This window comes from Homo sapiens, chromosome 11 (assembly GCF_000001405.40).
Source record: "Homo sapiens chromosome 11, GRCh38.p14 Primary Assembly".
Lineage (NCBI taxonomy): Eukaryota > Metazoa > Chordata > Mammalia > Primates > Hominidae > Homo > Homo sapiens.
In genome coordinates, this window is record NC_000011.10 from 43,978,361 (window position 1) to 43,999,150 (window position 20,790).

The 20,790-nt window shown below is 49.1% G+C and overlaps 1 protein-coding gene across 1 annotated transcript in view, besides 2 other annotated features; it reads left to right on the forward strand.

Moving 5' to 3' along the window:
• Positions 1–20,790, forward strand: part of ACCSL (1-aminocyclopropane-1-carboxylate synthase homolog (inactive) like) — a 138,910-nt gene that overhangs the window by 57,293 nt on the left and 60,827 nt on the right. The window lies entirely within an intron of this gene.
• Positions 3,994–4,494: an enhancer, noted in NCBI's record as "H3K4me1 hESC enhancer chr11:44003904-44004404 (GRCh37/hg19 assembly coordinates)". NCBI's record gives its function as "activates a minimal SCP1, AML or CMV promoter by ChIP-STARR-seq in primed H9 embryonic stem cells {active_cell/tissue: H9 hESC(primed)}" and the evidence as "EXISTENCE:reporter gene assay evidence [ECO:0000049][PMID:30033119]".
• Positions 4,495–4,995: an enhancer, noted in NCBI's record as "H3K4me1 hESC enhancer chr11:44004405-44004905 (GRCh37/hg19 assembly coordinates)". NCBI's record gives its function as "activates a minimal SCP1, AML or CMV promoter by ChIP-STARR-seq in primed H9 embryonic stem cells {active_cell/tissue: H9 hESC(primed)}" and the evidence as "EXISTENCE:reporter gene assay evidence [ECO:0000049][PMID:30033119]".

Consider the following 20,790-nt stretch of genomic DNA (forward strand, 5'->3'; position numbering starts at 1 on the left):
TAATGTTTTTGAAGGCACTCCTGAAAAGTAATTAAAAGGCAAAAACCCTAACATACGGCAATTTCATAGAGATTGCTACATGTAAATTTACAATGATATATAAAAAGTATCACGTAATCAGGAATAGAATTCAGAGATTCTTCTGTGATCCTGGCAAGGTACAGGCATCAAAGGGCCCAGAACGCTCCCTCCCTGGCTTACCCACTGTCAATGTCCCATCTGCACACATCTACAGGTAGGCTTTGTTCCCTCTTGGGCAGGGAGGAAGTATTTCTCCCATCTTCCCATCCCTTTGAGGTGGGAAAACTTGTTTTTCTTTCCCTGCTTGAGACAAGGCTCACTGGGATTGATGGAACATCTCATCTGCTTAATGCTTCAAAACCCCAGTGAAATAGAATTTCCTGATTCACCTGAGAAGGTGGGTTTTTTTTTTTTTTTTTTTTTTTTTTTTTTTACCAATAAAAGGGAGAACTGTTCCTCTCCCAGTTCTGTGTTCTTCACATTCTCCAGCATCAACTGGTCGGGTAAGGGGTTTTCATTTTTTAATTACTTGGCTCAACCTCAGTGCTGATGGGGAGAGGCTGTGATTGGGGTTTTGTTGGGAAAGCCTTGTGGCACTAATTATTGTTGTTATTGTTCTTGGATAAGGAATGTTTCCAATTGTTTTCCCTTATATCTGGGTAAGGGGTCAGAGAGGTCCCTTCATAAACAGGTTCTGGGAGGATTTTTATGCCTGGCCAAAGTCAAGCTGCTTCTGGTTTCTACTTCATCAAAACCTAATCCATAGCCTGGGTAACATAGCAAGACAAATAATTTTAAAAATTAGCCAGTGGTGGTGGCACATGCCTGTGGTCCCAGCTATTTGGGAGGCTGAGACAGAAGGACTGCTTGAGCCCAGGAGGTCAAGGCTACAGTGAGCTGTGATCACACCACTGCATTCCAGCCTGGGTGATGCAGCAAGACCCTGTCTCAAAAAAGAAAAAAACAAAAACAAAAAACAAAAAATGAATTTACATCAAAGCTTGATGAGCCATAGTGGCATTTGCATGGAGCTTGGGAGATGAGGCCCCAGTTGTTTGTGGTAGTCCTGGCCTTTTACTACAAGGAAAAGAAGCCATTCATAGAGAGTTTAGACCACCTAAGGTGTCCTTCGTTTGATCTACATATCGATGTAAAGTGGGCATTTTTCAGAACATTCTCATTTTATGCCCTGAATAGTAAGTCTCTGTCGTGGCAAGCTGAGACCACCACAACTTGATGTTACCTCTTTAAAATTCACATGCTTCGTTTCTAATTATAAAAGAGATATTTGTTCGTCTCTACTAAAAATACAGAAATTACCTGGGTGTGGTGGTGCATGCCTGTAGTCCCAGCTACTCGAGAGGCTGAGGCAGGAGAATCGCTTGAACCCAGGAGGCGGGGGTTGCAGTGGGCTGAGATTGCGCGACTGTGCTCCAGCCTGGGTGACAAAGCAAGACTCTGTCTCAAAAAAAAAAAAAAAAAAAGAAAAGAAAAAAAAATTGGCAACATTTCAAACATTACAGAAATGTGTAACTTAGATGTAAAAATTTTCTGTAATTCTAAGCCTCAGAAATCACCACCACTCCCTGATATATGTTATTTCCAGATTTGTCTATGCAATTCCAAAAATTTACAAGGATATATAAAAAGTATCACTTAATCAGGAATAGAATCTTGCTGTTTATAGAATTGTGCAACTTCTTTTTCTTCTTTGTAATAAATCTCAGTCTTCCTTTCTTGGCATACATGTAAATCTCTCATTCTTCTTGATAGCTGCCTAGAATTCTGTTGTTTGAATATACCATAGTTTATTTATTTAATCCCCTATTGACCATCATTTGTGTTGTTGTAAATTTTCTTGGCACAATATAGTGATGAATATTTTTGCACCTAAACCCAAAAAAATGTGGGATTTCTGTAGGAGATGTTCTCATAAGTAATCTGTGAATTTGAATGAGCACTACCACATTGTTCTGTAGAAACATTGGAGCAATTTATGTTTTCATCGTCAGCTGTCTATTTTTGCTGCACTCTTATCACAGGATCTTATCAGTCTTTAAAAATCATTGCCAATTGAGCAATGTTTACATAATCGAATTATTGTGGTTTTCTTAGCATTTCTTTATTAGTGAAGTTGGCTTAAACATCCTTTAATATGTTTATTGGGTGCTTTCACTATTCTGTGAATTACCTATTCATGTTCTTTGCTGCTATACTGCAAGGTAGTTTTGTCTTTTTCTTAATAATTTCCAAGAGTTCTTCGTATTTAGGAATAATAATGCTTTGCTTGTCATTTGCTCTAAATATTGTCCCTCCAATTTGTGGTTTGTCATTTGGCTCTGTTTTACGGCCATCTATCTACTGAAAAGCTAGTAGCTTTTCAGTGTGTACCAAGTACCAGGTACTGTGAAATTTGCTTTACATGAATTATCTCATTCAATCCTCACCTCCAACTATGGGGTAAGCGCTATTATCATCATCATCATCATTTAACAGGCAAAGAAAGTGAGGCTCAGAAGCGTACGTCACCTGGATAGTAGAGGGGGAGCCAGGATTTGAGCACAGGCATCACTGCATGGCCTCCCTCAAAGAACATCATAGATGATTGTTTTAAGTAGCCCCAGAAGTAAACCGGAAAGAAGGATTTGAATGCAGTTTATTTGGGATGTGATCTCAGGGAGCAGTAAGGGGATGGGGAAACAAGATGGGGCAGGAAAACAAACAAACAAACAAACAAAAACCAGTACAGATTGCATTAACGAGCACGCCACTGATGTGGGCAGGTGGACTTTATCCGCCTGGGGACCTCTGGGAGCTTGGGTAGCTCATGCCTCCATGTAGCCTACATGAGGGGCAGCCCACAGGGGCATTCTTCCAGCAAGTCCTGGTAACATGGTTGAGGTCAGCTCCTAGAGGGCACAACTCCCTGGCACTTCTGACTTCCCTGGACACTGGGGCTTTCCTAGCAGTCAGAGAAGGCCCCAGGCAGAGAAGGCCCCAGGAAGAGAGACACAATGCTTGCAGCAAGAGGCACAAGTTGGGGTATATGGATATGGGAGGGACACAGACAGGATTTACTCCCACAGCCAAGTTTATCTTTTAAAAAAAGGGTGGGGGATATTTTTGATCAATGTCAATATGTTAAAGAAAAACACTTTTCTCCTAATGCAACACTACATATGTCCATCCTAATTATGGCTGCTCCTCCTTCCTCGCAGCTGGCAGTCCATGGGTGTTGGATGGGAAGGAATTTGTCTTCCTGTGCTCTTCCTCTGGGAAGTTTGCCTTGGGAGGCCCAGAAGGCCACCTGGGAAGTGAAGCTCTAGGGACCCTTTGCTCAGAAGCCTCCTCTGGGCTGTCTTGGCAGAATACCCAGTCAGGAAGGGTGTGGCCGTGGTGCCCATGCCCCAAGCCACCTTTGGTCAAGGTTTCCAGGGAGATGAGCTGGTGTTCCTGTGCTCTGCTCCCCTCTCCCCGCCCAGGGCAACTTCACAGACTCCTTTTCTCTTTCCACCTCCCTTCAAAACATTCTCCCCACAAAGGAGCTGAAAGCTCAGAGTGTATCATCTTGAGTCCTGGTCTGTTTGTGACTTTGAAGGAGTTGAGTAGCTAGAGTCCGTTTGCTGAGAAAGCTTTGGTAAACTTTGGTGACAAAACTCCCTGGAGCAGAGGGGGAGCTGTTGGTGGGTTCTCGGGTGACAGAGCCCAAGCCTCACCCAGGCTAACTGCAGCCTGGGAGCTGTGGAAGGTGGCCGCGGCTCAGCTGGCTCATCCTGCCCTTCATCTCCCTCAGAGGTGGTCCCAGAACCACCTCTCTGTCCTGCCTCTCCCACCCCAAGGCCCTCTTTTTTTTTTTTTTTTTTTTTTTGAGACTTAGTCTCTGTTGCCCAGGCTGGAGTGCAGTGGCGCAATCTCGGCTCACTGAAACCTCCACCTCCCAGGTTCTAGCGATTCTCGTGCCTCAGCCTCTTGAGTAGCTGGGATTACAGGCACATACCCCCATGCCCGGCTAATTTTTGTATTTTTAGTAGAGACAGGGTTTCACCATGTTGGCCAGGGTGGTCTTGAACTCCTGACCTGAAGTGATCAGCCCGCCTCGGCCTCCCAAAGTGGCAAGGCCCTCTTGACCACTCCCTGTTTCTAACCTTTTCTCACACAACACGTCCCCACTTTACCTGCTTTCTTTATTGATGTGTGTGAACCGCCCGCATGGGGAGGCAGGTGCGGATGTGTCTGCTGAGCACGTGGCCGAGTCCCTGGCACTCTGACCTGGACCTGGCTCACAGGAGCTGGACTCTCTAACAGGAGCCTGGGAGTCAGGGGTCCAGGGCTCTGGTCCCGACTGAGCCATGGAATTGCTGAAGGATCTGGAAGTCATTCCTCCTGTGGAGGTTCAGGTCCCCAGAAGCGAGTCTGAGTAGGAGAATTGTGTGCAGAGCCAGAATTAGGGAGTGCTCTTGGGATTCACACGGTGGGAGAAGAGAGGAGGCAGGAGTGGTCAGAGGAGCGGTGGGCTGCGGTACAGCTGGCCTCTGCCCAGGTCACTCTGAGGCTGGGGTGGCCTCGAATCTCTGTTGCAAGGGCAGGCCTCCAGCCCCTAGTCAGTCAGCCTTGGGTGCAGGTGCCTAGGAAGGGGTGCAAGACAGAGGAGGGGCAGCTCTCTCTGTCTGGGGCACACCTAAGGGTTGGGAAAGAAGTCCCTCAGCCTTGAGGGGATCTGAGTGAGCATCACAGAGCCCACCCACAGCCTTGCGTGCCCTATTTTGGCCCATCCCCCATTGGAGGTGATTGTGTCTCTCCAGCAAGCTCTCAAGGAACTTGAGAGAGCAAATAGGATAAGAGCATAGGTAAAAGGGTTTTAGAATAAAGGTGCTCCAGGAAACAGTCGATTACTCGGAATTAATTAGAGAAAACAGGAGACCAAGTTTGAATTAGAGAATATTATTAAGGAAAAAGAATTATTTTGCATTCATTTCTGTACTCATCCGGAAATATTTACTGAGCACCTACTATGTGCCTGGTGCAGGGGATGTGGTCCAGGACTTCATGAATGCACTTTCTAAGGAAGGGAACCAGCCACGGGTTATACCTGAAGGGCAAGGGTAGGAACGAAATTGGTGCTCTGTGCTGTAAGGGGAGATGGGAACCAGAGAATGATTGCATTGAGATCATGAGGAGCTTTCTAAGGAACGCACTGAACAGATCGAGGTATTACACCCAAGTCACTTTGTGAGTCACTTGTTAAATATTGCCTTCCATCAACAGAATCATGAGGGACCTGGTGGAGGGCAGGGGAGAATCTAACAGACCTGGTTTGGATTCCAGCTCCTCAAACCACTGCCTATGGCTTGGGTGGGGGTGGGGTAGGGGGGTGGAGGCATGGTGGTGGGGGTTATGTGACCTCCTTGGAGCCCCAATTCCCTCATCTGTGAAACTGATAAGAAATCTGTCAGGCCGGGCGCTGTGGCTCACACCTATAATCTCAGGACTTTGGGAGGCTGAGGCAGGCAGATCACTTGAGGTCAGGAGTTCAAGACTAGCCTGGCCAACATGGTGAAACCCCCTCTCTACTGAAAATACAAAAATTAGCCAGGCATGGTGGTGCACACCTGTAAGTCCCAGGTACTTGGGCGGCTGAGGCAGGAGAATCACTTGAACCTGGGAGGCAGAGGTTGCAGTGAGCCAAGATCGTGCCACTTCACTCCAGCCTGGGTGACAGAGCGAGACTCCATATAAAAGAAAAAAAAAACTGCCTTGCAAAGACGCTGTGAGATGAGACATAATGTATATAAAATTCCCAGCCTTGTCTCTGGCATGTGGTAGGTGTCCACTACACGTGGCCATTATTGTGCACTCATTCCAAATAATGATGCAATGATTTCATTATCTTCAGAATCACCTTAGGTTGTAAGAAAAAAAAATGCTTTGTGTAGCTATACCATTAAAATCTCTCCCTCACCTTTCTGTCCCATTATCTGCTTTACTTAGACTTGTTTCAAAATAACTTTTACCTGCTGCTGAGAATGTGTTATTTGCTGGCCTAGGGAGAGGAGACCCAGATGAATGGACTATGGGATCACACCTCCTCTGGGTACAAACAGAAGATGGGAGTGCAGGTTATCCTCTGCCCTGCAACTCCACATATGCTTGACAATGACCTAGCCGGGCTCTGAATCCAGGAATGCTGGGACCAGACACTGCAACCAGGCTCAGAATAAATTAGCAGTGACCCAGAGTTTGTGGCGTCCGAAAGGACATTTCTCTGTGGATCTTGCCAAGATGTTCATTTCAAAGAAAGCCCTGGCTTCTTCAGGCTGCCTTTCCCGTTGGCCACATGCTTCCCCTCGTAGGACAATGTTGCACAATTGGTTTCCCAAACAGGGGTCAGGTCCTGTCCCTTTCCTGTCACAGCCTTGCCCAGCAGAGGGGAAATTGTTCTAAGGGTCTAGATGCGGAGAGCAGGTGGCATGTGTCTGCTGGACGGAGCAGAGGCTGCTGGGAAATGGCCAGGGGCTCTTCGAGGCCACCAGAGGAGTGGCCCTGGGCAGGGGCAGTATGCCAGGGAGGGCTGGGGAAGGGGACCTTCATATCACAGCCTTTAGATCCTCCTGGGTAGAGTTCAGAGCTGGATCCCAGGGACCTTCGAGTTGGAGGGAAACTCGGAGAACTGCAGGGCTAAAAGGGGCACTTAGCAAATCCACGAGAGGCAGGGTGGCAGGAGACCCAGGTTCCCTCCTGGCTGCACCAGTACCTGGAGTGCTTTCTCCCTTTCTCAGAGCCTCTTTTCCTGTCCTGAGCATTGGACGCTGCCTCCGCCCCCCTCCCAGTGTGGTTTCAAGGACCATTCAAGATAATGGAAGGCAAAGTGTTTTGAGAAGGGAAGTGTACCTCCAGTGTGAGAGGTGATGTTAGTTAATGATTAATACCTGGGGGCTGTGTTTCCTGGCAGGAAGCTGGCAGGCAGACAGGGAGAGGAGACCAAAGAGAGAGATGGGAGAGCCGAGGCCATGGGCTGACGTTCCCAGAAACCCAGCCTGGACCATTTTCTTAGGCAGGATCTGTTGCTGTGGTAGGAGGAGCTGTTCTTCCTTCTCAGTCTGCACAGTGGCTTCTGCCCATTCAGTTGTTTATCTGACAAATAATTATCATGTCTTCTCCCCTCTGCCCTGCCCACCAGGCCCCAGGACAGCACTGGGCTAAATGCTGAGAATGGGGTTATGAGCAAAATCCGGCTCAGTCTCTGCCCTTGAGGGGCACGGTCTGGTGAGAGGGTACATGGCAAACAGGAAAAGAGAAATACAAATAGTAGATGATTATCATGATCATTGTCACCATTATTAATATCCAACCGCCTTCTTAACATTTCCCCTTGGATGTCTAAAGACATCTCAGGCTGGGCGCAGTGGCTCACGCCTGTACTTTGGGCCGGCGGATCACCTGAGGTCAAGAGTTCGAGACCAGCCTGGCCAACATGACGAAAACTCATCTCTATAAAAATACAAAAATTAGCTGGGCATGGTGGGGAGTATGCCTGTAATCCCACTGAACTCCAGCCTGGGCGACAGCGTGAGACTCTGTCTCAAAAAATATATATAATAAACAAACAAACAAATAAATAAAAATAAAGGCATCTCCAACTGAACTCATCCAAAGCCGAGCATTCCATGTCACCCTCCCCAGTCTTATTAAATGGCATTTATGGGTATCGGAGAGCCAGAGACGTGGGTGCCATTCCTCTTCCCCTTCTCTCACAGCCATCAATTCCTTCAGCAAGCCCCATCATTTCCACCACCTAAAAGCTCTCTATAAAGGGTACGCTTCTTTCACCAACACTGCCACCCTTCAGGTGACATCATCTCTCATCATGACCATTGCCAGCGCTTCCTAACCTGTCTCCCTGCTGTCTTTTTCTCCCACCCCACCCCCACCCCCCACCCACTCTTTTTAAAGGAAAATATGATCTTCAAACATAAAACTGGATTCCAGCAACCCTCTTGCTTACAACCCTTCTCTGGCTTGGCACAGATCTCAGAGTAAGACCCGGGCTTTACATGCTGGTCACGAAGCCCTGGGTTACCTGGCCCTGGCCAGCCTCACAGACCTCTCCCGGGGCCTCCCTCTGCCCCCTCAGGGTGCTCCAGCCACCCACTGTGGCCATTCTTTGATGACAATGCTGAGCTCTTGCTCACTCCAGGGCTCTTGCACCTGCTGTCTCCTCTGCCTGGAAAAACTGTTTCCCTGGAACTTTACTGGGCTGGTTTCCTTCTTATTTTCTGGGATCAGCCTAAATGTCACTTTCTCAGAGAGACAATGAAGACCCAGCCCTTCTCTCCACCAAAGGCATCTCAACGTTTGCCTGCATCACATGAGTTTGTCAACTGGGATAATCCTTTATTTGCTCATTGGCTGTTTGTCTCCCCCATAAGTGCAGGGAGCTTGTCTACAGGGTTTGCGGTGCAAATTCTAGATTCAGTGTATGAGACACCCCAATAAACTTTTGTTAATGAGATGATGGTGAGTGCTCCCTCACCACCTCCATCCCAGAAGAGGTGAAAGCAAGAGCTCCTTAGAAAGAGCCAGAGACAGTGTGATTCCAGGACTCTGGAAAGTAAGTTCTAGCAATTCCCCCACTCCAAGTACTGGCATGGTGTGGCACAGCGGGGCCTGGGACCCTGGCTGCTCTCCCCAGTGACCTGCCCCCCACCCCCGAGTCTTCTTCAAGAAGAACAAGCAATGGATCCTTGACTCCCCTGTCACTGTTGTAGGGACACGCCCATCAGGATTTCCATCCCTTTGTCCATCCTTCCATCCATCCATTTATTCAACAGATACCTACGGAATCTTCTGAGAACCTGAAGTTAGAAGACCTGGGTCCAGGTGGTGGCCCCTGCCACCAACCCACTCTGGTAGCTTTGGACAGGTCTCTGCCTCCTTCTGGGCCTCCGTTTGTTCCTTTGGAAAGTGGGAGTGTCTGGACCAGATGGAGGAATTTCCAGACTCCTCCTTTCAGAAACGGCAGCTTCCGTGGCCCAGGTGGGAAGGTGTGGCGGGGGACGGGGCTGCAGGGTGGCTGACTCAGAGCCTAGGGAAGCCCCAGTCGCTGCTTCTAGCAAGAAGTTGGCGCTAGGTATCCTTTGGCCTGTGGTCAGTGTCCAGCTGCAGCTGCTGTCTGGGAATGGAGGGAAGCAGGACAGGAAGTGGAATCTGGGTCACCAGTCCCCCAAGCCTCCCCCACAGCACCTCCCCCACTCCCTGGCTGGCTCTGCCTCCCTCTGAGCCACAGCGGTCATCCAGGCCAGGTCCAGTGACTGTTTCTACCCGGTGAAAGGAGGAGGAGGCATCACAGAGCCGGAGACCTGGCCGACTTCCCAACACAGCCCGAATCTCTTCCCAGTATAATCCAGCGCTCGGGGGGGTCAAGGCCAAGGCAGGGTGGAATCCCGACAGAAGTTGGTCTGTGGCTGGGATGTGGTGGGAACAATAATGTGCGTTTGGCAGGCAGAGAAGATTTTTCCTTTCGGGCATTTCAGACAATGCTTCTTCCCCCACCCCCCCGCAGGGAATTTTCCTGGGCCAAGAACTGACAGACCCTGAAAGAATCTGCATGGAAAATGGTTTCAGTCCCAGGGGTTAGAGCTGCTTTTTCCCACCCCCACAGGAAGGATGAATGTCCCTGATGCCCTAGCCTCAGCTCCACCATGAGGTGGACCCTTTCTTCTGTGAACTTGATCCTCTCACTGGAAAGTCTCCTCTCTGCTTTTAGGGACAGTAGTTTACAAAACTAATTCATACTAGGGTGTGAACAACTCACTCCCTGTTAGCTGTTAGGGATCTCTGTTCCCCCGCTAGGGGGAACCCTGGCAGGGCCTGCCTGGAGTGCCCACACCACTCTCCCTTACCCTTCGTGTTACCTCCAAAACACGGGGGTTCGTTTGCCTGGTGAGTAACAAATAACTCTTCATCAGAACTCAGGTTTTGATCAATAGGCGTTTTATTACTTGGCGCAAGTAAGGAGCTCCCTGGGAATATTCTCCAAAACAGTGTCTTCTAGAGGGAAGGTGACAGGAGGGTGTTACGGAGCCATGGAGAGGGGAGAGGTTGCATCATCGCATGTAGAAGGGGGTCTCGGTGGCGTAGATGCAGTGAGTCATTTTGCCAGCACACAGGCCGAATGTTAGAATAATAAAGCTACAGCTTCTCCCAGGGCAGAGACTTTAGCGTGGTAATAAGGAAAGTTCACTCAGGCTTATCACTAAGCTGCTGGGGTCTGTCAGGGTCTGTCACCTACTTAAGCAAGCAGGCCACTCGGTTCCACACAGGGTTTAGGAAGAAACAGGCTGCAGGGCAAGAGGCTGCAAAACAGGATGATTGCTCTTAAATTCCTCTAATCCTAGGAGACCATTTCTGTCTGCTGATTCTCTCTTCTTTTTTTTTTTTTTTTTTTTTTTTTGGAGACAGGGTCTGGGCTGGACTTGAGCTCCTGGGCTCAAGCAATCCTCTCTCCTCGGCCTCTAGAGTAGCTGGGACTATAGGTACATGCCACCACACCCTTCTCCCCAAACTTCCTACTGCTGTGGTCCTCACCCGCAGCCAAAAGGCAGGTGTGACAGTGCGAAAGATTGGTCCTCCCTGGGTTCTAACTGGTGAATCACAAACTCGGTTTTCTTCACGGGGAGCTGGTCTAAGGTCAGATTCAGCCAAAAGGCAGGGGACTAACAGTGGCGTTTAGGGCATGTGCAGGCTGCAGACTTTGTGGCCAGGCCTCAAGCTGCTGTGTGGGGAGGCTCAGCGCTGGGTTCAGCTCTGCCGCTCATCAGCTGTGTGGCCTTGGACCAGTCACTTTACCTCTCTGAGCCTCAGTTTTCTCACCTGTGAGATGATGACGATCTGGCCTGGCAATGATGCCACAGAGTCAACAGAAGAGGAACAGGGGAAGGTCTGGGTGAGAGGTGGGTTGCAGACAGTCGGAGCCCTCCACGGATCTCCCCTCCCCCGCCTGCCTTCCTGCCTAGGCTTGGCCAGATGGTGGGAGCTGGGAAATGCAACAGAGCTGCACGCTCCTGGTCTATTTTGAGAAGCCTCCTGTTTCCTTTCCTGCCTGGGGCCATGTGGTTACTGCAGGTCTCTGCTTACAGGACAGGCTCAGAGGGCCTGACCTTGGCCTTCCTCTGCCCCTCACTCCCAGCCCTTCCCTTCCTCGTGGTCTGGACCCCATAAATCCCCATATCCTGGTTCCCAGCCCAGGCACCATGGCCCCCACCCAGCAGGGGTGGAGATCAGGCTTTCACAGGGGATTTGGGGCAGAGGACTTTCCACTTCTCTGCACTATGGAGGAGCCAGTGAGCTGTCCCACCACATCCAGGTCCCTTTGCTGCAGAGCCTTGCTGTTGGTGGCTGCCAGCATCTCCAGCTTACTGCAGGGGTTGGGGGTGGAGTCTTCCACACTCTCCACACAGCTTCCTCCAGAGCCTCCTCAGGGTCCTGCAGAGAGAAAGGGCCACCCAGAACGCTGGCGGCCCCGCCAAGAGGTCAGGCAGCCCCTGGCTTGTGGCCTGCCTTGTCTGAGTTCCAGGTCAGCAGAGGAAGTGGTGGCCCCACATGCTGTCAGTCGCCATGCCAGAAACTTAGCAGCCACCCATGATTCCTCCCTCTCCCTTACTCCTCCCTTCCCAGAGCCCTGACCCCAGCATGCCTGGCTTTGAGTCCCACCTCTATCACTTACCAGATCTGTAACCTCTCACCTCTCTGTGCCTTAATTTACTTGCCTGTGAAGTGGAGATCAGGAGAGCACCTACCTACTTCATTGGTTTGTGGGGAAGAGATAATAGTTAACACTGACAGAGTGCTTAGGACGTTGCCTGGCTATCTTAGTCCGTTCTGCTGCTGCAACAAAATACCTTAGACTGGGTAATTTATAAATCATAGTAATTTATGTCTCATTGTTCTGGAGGCTGGGAAGTCCAACATCAAGATACAAACAGATTTAGTGTCTGGTAAGGGCCTGTTTTCTGTGGGTCATAGATGGTGCCTTCTTACCGTTTCCTCGCGAGGTAGAAGGGAAGAATTCTCATCTCTTCAGCCCCTTCTGAGGGCTCTAATCCCATTCATGAAGTGGAACCCTCATGCCTTAATACCCCCTAAAAGCCCCTCCTCTTAATACTATCACATTGGTGATTAAGTTTCAACATATGAATTTGGGGAGATGCATTTAGACCATAGCTCTGGCACATAGCAACTGCTCAATTAATGCTAGGTCTTGTTATCAAATTGGTCAACACATTCCACCCACTCCAATTCTTTGGGATTGCTTCTGCCTCCTAGATTTCTGTCCTCCTTTAGCCGCTCCTGGTGCACTGCAGAATGCTTCTCACTGGTTTCGCCATCTCTTTCTTCCACCCCACTAAAGCCAGGGGTGTGCCGTGGCTCACACCGTAATCACAGCACTTTGGGAGGCCGAGGTGGGTGGATCACTTGAGGTCAAGAGTTCAAGACCAGCCTGGCCAGCAGAGTAAAATCCTGCCTCTACTAAAAATGCAAAAATTATCCAGGTATGGTGACAGGTGCCTGTAATCCCAGCTACTTGGGAGGCTGAGGCAGGAGAATCACTTGAACCCGGGTAGCAGAGGCTACAGTGAGCCCAGATCATGCCACTGCACTCTAGCCTGGGCAACAGAGTGAGACTGTGTCTCAAAAAAGAAAAAAAAAAAAGTCTGATTAGTGTCACAGGGTTTTGGAGTCAGAGAGATTCATTCATTCACTCAACAAATATTTATTGAGGGCTTACTACATGCCAGGCCCTGTTCTGAGCACTGGGATATGGCAGTGCCCTATGCAAAGTCTGAAGCTTGTATTCCAGTGGATTTAAATGCCATTCCTGCTACTGGGTGGACTTGGACAACTTCCTAATCTCTTGCAGCCTCCATTTTGTCATCTGCAAAATGAGATCACAGAAACCTGCCTCATGGGCACACAGCTGCACACACAAAGTGTATGAAATATTTCCCAGGTGGTAGCTCTAGAATGAGAACAGTGAGGATGGTGTCATTCAATTCCTAAGTTTCCATGGTTCATGCTGGGCTCAGGTGTGGCATTCAAGCTGTCCAAGATCTGGATCCAATATACACCCCCCTGGCAGGGTGTGGTGGCTCACACCTGTAATCCCAGCACTTTGGGAGGCTGAGGTGGGCGGATCACCTGAGGTCAGGAGTTCAAGACCACCCTGGCCAACATGGCGAAACCCCATCTCTGCTAAAAATACAAAAATTAGCCGGGCCTGGTGGTTGGTGCCTGTAGTCCCAGCTACTCGGGAGGCTGAGGCAGGAGAATTTCTTGAACCCAGGAGGCAAAGGCTGCAGTAAGCTGAGATTGCACCACTGCACTTTGGCCTGGGTGAAAGACAAGACTCTGTCTCAAAGAAACAAAAACAAAAACAATCCGCACCTCCCCCAAAGCCCACCAGCCCAGGATCTAATGACTCCCTGATAATCAGGCCACCCCAAGTGTCTCATTGCTCCTCAGACAATTTGGTCCCTTCATATCTCTTAACTTTGCACACACAGTTCTCCTATCTGGGAACTTAAGCCCCCTCACTTTCTTTTCTTAACAATCCCCTCCCTCCCCATCTTTTTTTTTCTTTCTTTTTTTCCTTTTTCTTTTCTTTCTTTCTTTCTTTCTTTTTTTTTTTTTTTGAGACAGGGTCTCACTCTGTTGCCCAGGCTGGAGTGCAGAGGCGTGATCATGGCTCACTGCAGCCTTGACCTCCTGGGCCCAAGGGATCCTCCCACCTCAGCCTCCTGAGTAGTTGGAACTACAGGTTCACGCCACCATGCCTGGCTAATTTTTGTATTTTTTTTGTTGAGACCGGGTTTTGCATGTTGCCCAGGCTGGTCTCAAACTTCTGAGCTCAGGCGATCCCCGCCTCTCCTGAAGTGTTGGGATTACAGGCGTGAGCCACCGCGCCCGGCCCTCCCCCATCTTTTCAAGGCAGCTGCATCTACATGCTTTGCAGGATAGTCTTTCCAGCCTCTCACACAGGACAAATCCCTCTTAGATCTGGGCTCTTCCTGCCAGGTGTCCACGCTTCCAGTACATACCTTCCCATAGTATATCATTACTGTGTGGCCTCAGCTGCTGGGCAGGAACGGGTTGCATTTATCTTTGTGTTCCAGAGCCTAGCACTGGCTTGGCATATTGTGGACACTCATTGGCATTTGATTAGAGATACCTCTAATGACCCACTTAGTTTACCCAAGTGAAAGGTATGATCAATGTTAGAGATTCATGCGCCACTGGAAGAGAAAGGCATTGGCAAGTGCCATCCCCACTACCAGCTGCAGCAGATATATGACCTGAGTGTCACTACATTCTAGTGTCCCGGAACGTATTCATTAGTATAGGTGCAGTAACAAATAGACCACGAAATGTATAATGGTTCAAACACAGTGGAAGTTTATTTCTCCCTCATGTGAGTCTGAAATGAAGCCTCCTGGTCTGCATGTGGCTTTCCTCCTCATAGTAATTTGGGGAGCCTAGCTCTCTCCGTCGTGTGGCTGCACCCTTATTCAGGTCCTGTTGTCATCCACATCCAGCTGGCAGAAAGCGAAAGTGAGAACGTGGAGGAGGCACAGCTGCTCTTAAAAGCCTTGGCTCTGAAATGGCACATGTTGCTTCTGTTTGTGTGCTAGAGCGGAATCACAGTCTTCCAGCTATGTGTTTGGAGACTGCAGGGCAGACCCGCAGACCTCAGTACAGGGTGTCGGGCTGCTGGTCTGGCTGTCCCCACTCCCCAGCCCATGCTGGGCTGAAACAACCTGAGCAATTCATGGGGTATGGCCCCTCCTGGTCTATTAGGTAGACAGAAGGGCTGGCCATTGGTCAGGGCAGGGGCAGGGGTAACTCCGTGCATCCCATGGGGTCGGGGTGCTAGGTCAAGCCCTCTTCTCAGGGGCCTGAGAGCTCTCTCAGGGTTCTGGGACAGAGTTTTGTAGCCACAGGATTCAGACTCTGGCAGGCTGTGGCTCCTCTTCCTTCTCCAGAAGTGGGCTGAGCTGTGTCCTGAGTAACATCCTGGCCGCTCGGATGGTTGCAGCTGGTTAGGGAAGAAATATCCAAGGCCCCGGCACCATCTAGGGAGCAGTGACTACGCCTACTTCCATGGCAAAGTGCTCTTAGCTGCAGTTTGAAAGGGATCTTTGAAAGCCTTTTCCCCAACACTTCCAGCCATTGGAAGCTGAAACCAGCCTCCTGGACGCCCCTTGCCGGAATGGGCAGCATCACTCAGCCAGAACAACGAGCATCCTGGATGGCTCCTCAGCTGCCTGCCCCCTTCTGTGCACACCCCACACCCAGGCTGAGAATCTCAGGAAACCTGGGCAGGAAGGATCCCTATACTAACCATCTGGTCCAGTGGTCCTCAGTGGGGATGTTTGGAACTCAGTCGGGGCATTTTGGATTGCTGCAGCGATTGGGCGGTGAACGGGCATTTAGTGGGCAGAAGCCAAGGATGCTACAGATTCTGGGACATGCAAGAAAAAGTATCCTGTATCTTGCAAAACCTGTGCCCAGATGCATATCCCTGTAGAGTGGTGCTTCTCAACTGGGCTCCATCCCAGAGTTCCTGATGCATCAGGTTTGCAGCGGGCAGATGAATGTGCATTTCTGACAGCTCCCAGGTGATTCTGATACCGTGGGAAACACACTTTGAAAACCACTGTTGTATGGAGATTTGTTTTTAAACACCCAAGCCTAGAATATAATTCTGTTTTACATTTAAAGACAGTATTTTTTGCATTTCTTTTATTCACTTAACTTTCTTGGATTACAACTACTGTATAGATCAGTCTCTTTGGTTTAGTCTGGAACTTTACCAGGAGTTGTTCACCATCTCAGGAAATATAGTCCTCACTGATAGTGCCACTGGAATATCCAAGTTGCCAGTCTAACAGTGTGTGCAGTCTGCATGTGCAGCTGTTATGTTCATGGAAATTCTGCAAATGGAAGCCAGCCTCTGACTGCTTCATCAGGGTGTCAGTGTGGCCATACCATTATTCAATAGGGTTGGAATGTCCATGACTTAAGTATAAATTATTTTTCCTTTATTTGTTCTTTATATTTTAGTTAGAGCATTGTGTGTATATGTGTGTGTGTGTGTCTGTGTGTGTTGTGTGCATTTTGATTTAGTGGGTGAGTAGTTTCTTGTTTCTAAGAATTTCATTTTGGGAGGTAAAAGGGGTGTTACTAAATATGTATTATTATTATTATTATTATTTTGAGACAGGGTCTCACTCTGTTGTTCAGGCTGAAGTGCAGTGGCATGATCACAGCTAACTGCAGCCTCAACTTCCCAGGCTCAAGCAATCCTCCCACCTCTACCTCCTGAGTAGCTGGGACTACAATGCGCGTGCCACCATGCCTGGCTAATTTTTTTTTGTATTTGTAGAGATGAAGTTTCACCATGTTGCCCAGGCTGGTCTTAAACTCCTGAGCTCAAGGGATCACCTGCCTCGGCCTCGCAAAGTGCTGGGATTACAGGCGTGAGTCACCGCGCCCGGCCTAAATATTTATTATAAGAAGGGGACTTTGCATTCATCAGGGTTGAGACCACTGATTTAGGCCAACCTTTACACTCTATAGGGTGGAATATTTTCCCAGATGGGGAGAGAGACTTATGCAAGGTGAGTGGCATGTCCTGGCCAGGGTCCTGACTCCTGATATAACACTCTTCCTAGGGTGGGGAGAACTAACTTCTAAGAGCCTACTGCATGCTGGGCACGGTGCTGGGTATTTCAGGGGAGGGGGAAGGTGTCACTGGGGCTGTTTTGAGGCCTTATGAGGACTCTGTGCACAGGAAGGTTGGGTGACCCGCTCAATAGACACACAGCTGCCAAGTTGTGATGTTCAGATCCCAACCCAAGACTCTGACTCCACAGCCATTAAGGAGGCTGCTCTGCCTGCGTGTCGAAGGAGGACATCTTCAGTGACTGAAGTTTTCACTGAGCAGTTGGCAGTCGACGCACATGGAGGACACACATGAGGCCTAGGAAGGCAGCCGTCAACAGAACTGTCTTATTGTCTGTCCTCATGGAATTGACTTTCCAGTGGAGAAGGCAAAGTGAGTGCAAATAGTTCATCGCAATGTAGATATTCCACCAAGGGGTAGAGGACAGAGAGAGTATGTCCTAGGGAACCTGGCCTGAGCTGGGCTTGAGGGCAGAAAGGCTAGGGCACAGACAGGGAGGGCAAATAGGAGTTGGTACATGAGGAGGTAGGAAGGAGAGAGCTCTGTACCCAAGTGGACAGTGGTAGGTGAGCTGGAAGGACCCCAGTGCATTTCAGAGGAAGGAGGCCAGCGAGTGCAGAGCCCAGAGAGCAAGAGGGAGAATAAGAAGGGGCCTTGCCAGACCACACAGGGCCAAATGGCTGTGGGAAGACTTGGCCTTTCCCCTAAAGAGCCATGTATTATGAGTTGAACCAGATCCCTCTGAAAGATATGGAAGTCCTCCCCTAACCCCAGAATCTGTGAATGCCACCTCGATTTGAAAAACATCTTTGCAGATGACCAACTTAAGATAAAGTCATTAGGGTGGGCCCTAATCCAATATGACCTGTGTCCTTATAAAAAGGGGGTAATTTGGCACAGAGGCAGACACAGAGGGAAGACCATGTGTAGTGGCACAGGAAGAACGCTGTTTACAAGCCAAGGAAGGTCTGAGGCTCCCAGAAGCCAGGGGAAAGGCCTGGGATAGTCCCCACTCACAGCCCTCAGAAGGGACCAACTCTGCTGACACCTTGATCTCAGATTTCCAGCCGCTAGAACTGTGAGAGGATAAATTTCTGTTGTTCAAGCCCCCCACTGGTAGTACTTTGTTTTAGCAATCCCAGGAAATGAAAACACCATAGATGGCTCTAACCTGGAGAATAATATGGTTCGATTGATGTCTTGAGACAGCTTTGCCAATGGGGTGTGGAACGTGGGTCAGAGGGGCGTCAGTGGCTGTGGGGAGACCTGTCGCAGGGAGATTGCCACGCTCTGTTAACAGCTGATGGCAGCTTGGTGAGGATGGGGCAGATGGAGATGGAGGAAAGTGGACAGACATGGGAGATACTTAGAAGATGGAGTTTATAGGTCATGTCAAGGATGAACCCTAGGACAATGGCTTCTGCTGAGTAGGTGACAGTGCCCATGCCTGAGATGGGGGTGACAGGACCAGGTTTTGGTAAAGACACAAGTGTACATCTGAATCTGAGGTGCTTTTAAGGCCTCCAGTGGGGCTGCAGGTTCTCTCTCCCAGAGGAAAGTTTGGACTGGAGACAAAGCTTGGAACCTCATTCCAGATGTTTCCAGAAGTCTCTTCCTTGGAGACTCAGCTGGGACAGCTTTGATGGGCCTTGGTGGGGAGACTCATGTTCCTCAAGGTTCTCAACCTTTTTTCCTTTTTTTTTTTTTTTTTGAGGCAAAGTCTCGCTCTGTCACCCAGGCTAAAGAGCAAGGGTGTACACTCGGCTCACTGCAACCTCCACCTCCTGGGTTCAAACGATTATTGTGCCTCAACCTCCCAAATAGCTGGGATTACAGGCGCCCACCTCCACTCCTGGCTAATTTTTTTATTTTTAGTAGAGACAGTTTCGCCATGTTGGCCAGGCTGGTCTCAAACTCCCGACCTCAGGTGATCCACCCGCCTCAGTCTCCCAAAGTATTGAGATTACAGGCATGAGCCACTCCTGGCCAGGTTCTTAACCTTGATTTCACATTATACTCATGTGGGGAGTTAAAAAAAAAATCCCAATGTCCAGGGGGTTCCCCAGACCAATTAAATTAGAATCTCGGAGGCGTGGACCAACATGTAGCAGGTATTTTATGCTAAACAGAGGGCCCCGTCTTGCTGCTTCACCGTGAGATGCTCTGGCTGGACTGTTTCTTGAAAACCCCCTGTGTCAGTTTCTTTTGGGCTGTCGGTTCCAGAGAGGATTCTTCCGGCTTCCTCCTGCCTCGCGATCCTCTGGGGCTTCTGCACGTATATCAGGTTAATTCTTAGTTTTTCCCATGTGTTGGCTGAGGATTCAGCTTTCTGGGTCTGCTAAGTCAGCTGCAACCTGTTTGGCAGCTTTCCAGTTGCGATATTTTCCATGCTGTTCTCTCCTCTCCTACTCTCCCCATTCTCGTCGTTTTATGCCTCAAAGAACATCCCTTAACTATTGTTTCAGGGAGGTTTGAGGAGGGATCAAACGTAGATGTCTATGTTCCAGCTTCACCAGCCAAGAAATGTGTGTGAAACACCTTGAGATACAGGTTTCCTTTTGCCAATGCATCGTCAGGAAGGTTTTTGGCTGCAAGTATTGGAAACCCCAACCAATAGTGACAAAAACAAGTGTGGCTTTGTTTACCCCACATTAGAGGCTAGAATTAAGCAGCCAAAGATCTAGGTTAGGGGATTCAGCAGTGCTAGCAGCAGCAGCTCTGCGGTCCTCCTGGCCTTCTTCTATGGGAAGAGAATGTCTCCCTCCTCCAGCTTCTATGGGGGAAATAGACAAGGGAGAAGAGGTAGGAAACAGGTGCTGGCCTAGCCACCCAGCGGTGTCTGTCTCACACATCAAATCACCATCAGTGTAGCATGGTGGTTTAAAAGCATGGTATTTTGGAGTTAGGCAACCTTGGTTCAAATCCCAGCTCTGCCACTTTCTGCGTATCTTTGGGCCAGTTTCTTAACCGTTTCGGTCTCAAATTCCCATTGGTGTAAAGGGGGTGACAATAGACTTCACTATTGTTGTGGAGATGGTTGAATGAGACAAGGTGTGTAAAGCGTTCAGCCAGGACAGTCACATAGTAAGGACGACATGAATGCTGATGCCCTTCAGTGCAGCACTGTTACGTGGAAATGCTTCCTGAACTCCTGGAGGGCGAGTGTGTGGGTGAAATTCAGCTGATGGGGCTTAGATTCTTACCTGAGCCCCAGATCTTTCTTCATCCCCTTTCTTTTCAGTGTGTGTTGGCTGATTTTTTTGTCTCTCCTCCCATGTCCCCATTTCATGAAAAAACCAGAGCCTTTGTGACTGGTTCCATAAGGAAAGCCCTGGATTAGGCATTCTCCACAGTGGGCACAGCGCTGAGGTCTTAGCCTTGAGGGGCCCTGGTCTCTTGGGTTCTGGTGGCCACTGGCTCAGCAGGCTCCAGGGCCAGGCACCAACCAGATCCCTGGCATCTCTGGGTTCAGTGGGTTTGGCAAAGTGAGAGTTAAAAATTTACTTAATGAATGTTTATTGACCCAGTTTGCCCTCTCACTTATTCATTCATTCACTTCTTCATAGATTCATTCATTATTTATTCATTCATTGTCACCTTCTTCATAGATTCATTCATTATTTATTCATTCATTGTCACATGGCATTTTTTTTTTTTTGAGACAATGTCTCTCTCTGTTGCCCAGCCTAGAGTGTGGTGATGTGATCACGGCTCACTGCAGCCTCAAACCGCCAGGCTCAGGTGATCCTCCCACCTCAGCCTCCCCAGTAGCTGAGACTACAGGCATGCACCATCACACCAGGCTAAATTTTTACATTTTTTCAGAGATGGGGTCTTACTTTGTTGCTCAGGTTACTTATGGCTTTTGAGTCATACAGACCTGAATTTAAATCCTGGCTTTACTATTAGCTGTGAAACCTCTGTATGTATGCTAAGTGGCTCTCTCTGTGCCTCAGTTTCCTCGTCTTTCCAATGAGGCTAACAGTTGCGAGGATGAAATGAGATATTGAATGTTAAGCGCTTAAGACACA